Source organism: Homo sapiens, chromosome 1 (genome assembly GCF_000001405.40).
Source record: "Homo sapiens chromosome 1, GRCh38.p14 Primary Assembly".
Lineage (NCBI taxonomy): Eukaryota > Metazoa > Chordata > Mammalia > Primates > Hominidae > Homo > Homo sapiens.
Window position 1 is genome coordinate 143437303 of NC_000001.11, and position 5575 is coordinate 143442877.

The 5575-nt window shown below is 43.2% G+C and overlaps 1 pseudogene, besides 1 other annotated feature; it reads left to right on the plus strand.

Moving 5' to 3' along the window:
* Positions 2303-2412, plus strand: RNA5SP533 (RNA, 5S ribosomal pseudogene 533; annotated as a pseudogene).
* Positions 5074-5575: an enhancer, noted in NCBI's record as "OCT4 hESC enhancer chr1:148910110-148910611 (GRCh37/hg19 assembly coordinates)". NCBI's record gives its function as "activates a minimal SCP1, AML or CMV promoter by ChIP-STARR-seq in naive H9 embryonic stem cells {active_cell/tissue: H9 hESC(naive)}" and the evidence as "EXISTENCE:reporter gene assay evidence [ECO:0000049][PMID:30033119]".

Consider the following 5575-nt stretch of genomic DNA (forward strand, 5'->3'; position numbering starts at 1 on the left):
TAGGCCCAGCTACTTGGGAGGCTGAGGCAGGAGAATTGCTTGAACCTGGGAGACGGAGGTTGCAGTGAGCCAAGATCACACCACTGCACTCCAGCCTGGGTGACAGAGTGAGACTTTGTCTCCGCAAAAAAAAAAAAAAAAAAAAAAAAAGAATGGGTTAATGCCTGAGAACTCTTTGGCACAGTGCCCAGCACAAATTCAGCAGTCACTCAGTGTTGGCTATCATCTTTGGTGATGTTGGTCCCAAACCCAGACCTCTGCTCTTGTCCTCGGCTCATACACCCACCTGTATAGCCCATATGCACTTTAAACATGAGTCCAAAATGGAATCCAAAATATTAGATGCCCTCGTTGCCACCACCAGGTTTGCTTTCCTCTCAAGCCACTGAGGGATCCATAGAAGCAGAGACCATGATGAGAACCCATCTTTAACTCTGGGTCGCTAGCACAGGGGCAGAGTAGGCAGTCACTACATCTTCAGAGCTTGTGAGTTTTATTTTGCTTTGTTTTGCAATCTGTCATCCTCACACTCTTACTATATAAGACAGTGCCTAGCCAGACAAGCATAGGTTTAAATCTCCACCTTGTCATTTCTTAGCTGTGTGACCCTGAGCGACAAGCTTGAGTTTTCTGAGCCTCAGCACCTTCAGCTGTACAGTGAGAATGAACAGACCTCCTCACAAGGCTGCTATAAAGAATTAACGAGGCTGGGCATGGTGGCTCCCACCTGCAATCCTAGCACTTGAGGCCGAGGTGGGTGGATCACCTGAAGTCAGGAGTTCGAGACCAGCCTGACCAACATGGTGAAACCCCGTCTCTACTAATAATACAAAAAATTAGCCGGGCATGGTGGTGGGCGCCTGTAATCCCAGCTACTCGGGAGGCTGAGGCAGGAGAATCGCTTGAAACCAAAACCGGGTGGCAGAGAGAGGATGCAGTGAGCCAAGATTGCACCACTGCACTCCAGCCTGGGTGACAAGAGTGAAATTCCATCTCAAAAAAAAAAAAAAAGGAATTAATGAGATCACTCCACACAAATCCTAATGTGGCATCTGATACAGGGTGAGTTCTAGTAAATGAGCATTTTTTACACTCAAGATGTAAGAGTGATGGTTTCATTATTAGAGATGAGAGAACCAAATTAATAAACGTTTAATCATGTACTTAAAATCACACAACTGGGACTCATAACCAAGCCCTTTTCTTCCTGGTCTGATGTTCATTCCTTGTTGTCTGAAATGTCAAATCATTTTACCAGAATAGCAGGGGAGAGAGGGACAGAAAGTTGCTTAAATTATTGATTTTGTTTTAGCAGCCTCTCATCCTGCAAGAGGGGCTTGCAGTAACAAAGGCCTGGCACCTTTGAGTTTGTTTTTGGTCCATTTTTTAAATCTTCATTCCCTTTAGCTCTTGTTGAAAATGGCTTCCTGCCACTTTGCACAGAAAAATCTCTTTCATGAAATACCAAAACCAAACAAAAAACAGGCCTTCGAAATGCTGTTTTGCCTCCTCCTAAGAGCTAACATTTGCCAGTTGTAATTAACATTCCTTTCGCTTCTTTCAACAGAAAATCAATCAGGGCCCTAAAATCCCTGCACATCTGTATTTAATCCACAAATAATTCAACAATGTTCTATCTTAATGGTGTATTGTGAGAAAAGCATAAATGTCATCAACTTCTTTTACGTGGAAAGAACAATAGGTCATGAACTTGTTTGTGCTCCTGATGTCCTTTAGAAATGGATTCCTAAGGACCAGGAGTGTTCTCCCCACCGACGGTGCACAGTGCCACAGCAAGGACAGTCAACTGGGAGTTGGGAGACCTGGACTTCAGTTCACACCACTTTGCTGGGGTACTTGGGCAAGTCCCTCAGGGCCTCAATTTCTGCATCTGCACAATATGGGGAGTGGTCAACATGATTTCCAAAGTCTCTAGCCAGATTTCAAATTTGTTTACAGCACACAGAAAATTGCTAAAGAGAAAAAACTATAGTGGCCATTTCTGTTCAGGCTGCAAAATCTTGTGCACTATTTACATATTTAGGTATGAACTGTCTCAAAGGGTCTTTCATTTAAAAATGACCAACATGGAGAAACCCCATCTCTACTAAAAATACAAAATTAGCCAGGCGTGGTAGCGCATGCCTGTAATCCCAGCTACTCCGGAGGCTGAGGCAGGAGAATGGCTTGAACCCGGGAGGCAGAGGTTGCTGTGAGCCGAGATAGCACCATTGCATTCCAGCCTGGGCAACAAGAGCGAAATTCCGTCTCAAAAAAAAAAAAAAAAAAAAAAGAGGATGTAGGCTACAGCCATATACCCTGAACATGCCCAATCTCATCTGATCTTGGAAGCTAAAAAGGGTCAGACCTGATTAGTACTTGGATGGGAGAAAATGAAGGTGGAGATAGTTCTTTGTGAAGACACATGTGTGTACTTATTTGTGCACTTGTGTGCTTGCAATTGCATCTTGGGCACATGTGTATTGTGGAGGCATCTGTGTGCCTGTGGAGTGTGTATACATAAGTACCTGATGTATGTTTGGCTGCAGAGGCACAGAAGGTCAGCAACAGCAGGTGGCTGCATGCAGGGGCACTAATAATTACTCATTTTATACAAACTGTTTAGCAACAATGTTAGCTATTCTACTGCTGACTTTACGAACAGAGAAAATGTGGCCGGACACAATGGCTCCTACCTGTAATCCTAGCACTTTGTAGGGGCTGAGGCAGAAGAAGCCCTTGAGCTCAGGAGTTTGAGACCAACCTGGGTGACGTAGTGCGACCTAGTCTCTAATAAAAATTAAAAAAAAAAAAAAAACTATCCAGGTGTGGTGGCGCATGCCTATAATCCCAGCTACTTGGTAGGCTGTAGCAGGAGGATCACCAGAGCCCAAGAGTTTCAGGCTGCAGTGAACCATGATTGCTCCACTTCACTCTAGCCTGGATGACAGAGCAGGACCCTGTCCCCCTGCCACAAAAAAAGAAAAGAAAAGAAAAGAAAAAAGAAACATAGAATAGAAAACGTCTCCTGGTTTGCATCCTGGAATAGAGAAATGAGCACAGGCTTTCAAATCAAACAGTAGTGATTCATATCCTGCCCCTGGCACTCACCCAGCATCTCTGAACCTGAATATTTTCATCCAGGTTGACTTAAGGATGAAATGGAAAAAGATTTACAAAGTACCTGGGGCATAGCAAAGGATTCAATAAATGTTCTCTCCCTTTTCTTCTATATTAGTTATCTATTGCTAAATAACAAATTAACCCAGAACTTAGCAGCTTAAAACAGCAAGTGTTTTTCTGATAGTGTCTATGAGTCAGGAGCCCAGGCAAAGCTTCGCTGGGTCTTCTGGCTCACAGTCTCCCAAAGGCCGCAATCAAGGAGTAATATAAGGCTATGGTCTCATCTGAAGGCTCAACTGAGGGATGCTTCCTTTCCAAGCTCACTCATGTGATTATTAGCAGGTTCAGGTTTTGGCTGACTCTTGGTCAGACACTCCCCCAGCCTCTGGTTTCTTGCTACTGGGCCTCTTCATAGAACACCCACAACATGGCTGCTGGCTTCCATCAGAACAAGAAAGCAAGAGAGCAAGAGAGGGTGAGCAGGATGGAAGTCATTTTCTTTTTGTAACTTCTCAGAGGTGCTGTTCATCAGTTTCACCATATTGTGTTTGTTAGGAACAAGACATTAGGTTCAGCCAAGATATAAGGGAGTGGAGAGGATTATACAAGGGCATGAATACCAGGAGACATGGATCACTGGAGGCCATCTTAGGGGCTGCTGGGAAGCCTGTCCTCCAGCCCCCAGTGATTCACATCCTCCACCCCATGCAAAATACACTTGTGTCCTGCCAAGATCCCTAAAAATCTCCTCCCCCTTCAGCATCAACTAAAGTTCAGAATCTCATCAAATCAGGTATTGGGGTGGGGACTTCTTGAGAATGACTAGTCACATGCAGCTCCTAGAGTACAGTTCCTCTCTCTCTGAGAGCCTGTGAAACTAGAGAGACACAGTATCTGCTTCCATACGCCTAGCATTAAATGGTATAACAGGCATGGGTTAGCTCTATATCTGTCTCCTTTTTCTCTAGATGTTTGATGAGACAAGTATTTTAATTTTGTATTCCACTAATTTATTCATTCAACAAATACTTATTAGGTACTGACTATAGACTCTATTTATTTTGCATTCCCATTTTGCCAACAAGGAATCTGAGAATCAGAGGCAAAATATTACAGCTTGGCCCACTGAATTATTTTTTCTTCTCTGAAAGGACCTCTAGGATTCTCCATCAATGAGGACTTTCTAGTCACAGCTGCAGTGAGGTTTGAGTTTAGCTGATTAGACCATCAACCACAAAGACTACACATTCAAATACTTTTATGTGGCAGAATATCTAAGAATAATTCAAGCTAATAAAAGATCTAGAGAATAATTAGATATATTCATTGTTAATAAGAGCCCATTTAATATTGTAGCAAAGGCAAGATCAGGGCAGGGTCAAGGCAGATAATTTTCAAACATGCCTAATGATAGTGTAGACCAATGGTGTTTTTCAATTGTGGCTATATACATTCTAACACATTCAATTTTTTTTAAAAAGTGAAGCTTAGGTCCTATTCCTTAGAAATTCAGATTTAACTAATTTGGAGTGGGCCCCAGACATCAATATTTTAACTTTCAAGTGGTTCTAGGAAAGACAGGTTTAGGGGCTGTGGAGAGACACAGAATGGCAAGTACTTAGAACATTCACACATCCCCCACCTCCCAAGCTCCTAACAGAAATCATTTATTAGCCAGTCCCCTCAATGTCATTGGTTGGAATGCAATTGTGTAGTCTTTCTCATCCCAGGACTCCAGGCAGCCCCTACCCATGAAGCCAAGTTGACATATGAATGAAGGCATATGTGTTAGCCCTGACAAGCCACACTGGGCATGCTTTCCCAAACCTACAAATTATCAAGGGTGTAGAAAAATAGAGCCCTCTCCATGCTGAGCAGATCTCACTCATGTAGACAACTGAGGTCTAATTACCCATTGGAAATGGCCATTGGAAGAGCACAGGAAAAGGTCCAAGATGGAGAGGGAATTTACAGCCAAGTCTGATAATGGTTTCAGAACCTCAAAATACTTCACCTGGAGAGGACCCATGGGCAATATACATGAAGGAGCTCTCCTCTTCCTGAGTCCCTCCAAAGAGTTGTGTAAAGCCCAAAAGGGGGGCTCTCCAGGAGTAGATGCTCTTCAAATCCCACTTCTATCCCTTACTAGAAGTATAACCTGGCTTGCTATTGAGCCTCTCTCAGCCTCCTTTTCCAAATGAGGACAATGGTGCCTATGTCACAAGAATATTGCAGTGATTCCATGAGAAGATGTATACAAAGCACCTTGCCCAATAGATAGTCAACAAATACTGGTTGTCACCTTTATTCTGTCAGTGTTGGTGGAGTGCTGGTACTCATAGTTCACTAAGAGTTTTTAGGACAGCAATGATCTTAGAAGAGAATCAGATCAAAGTTCTGAGTGTTTTCCCTGGAACTGGCATTGTATTATTAATATCCTACAAATGGGAGA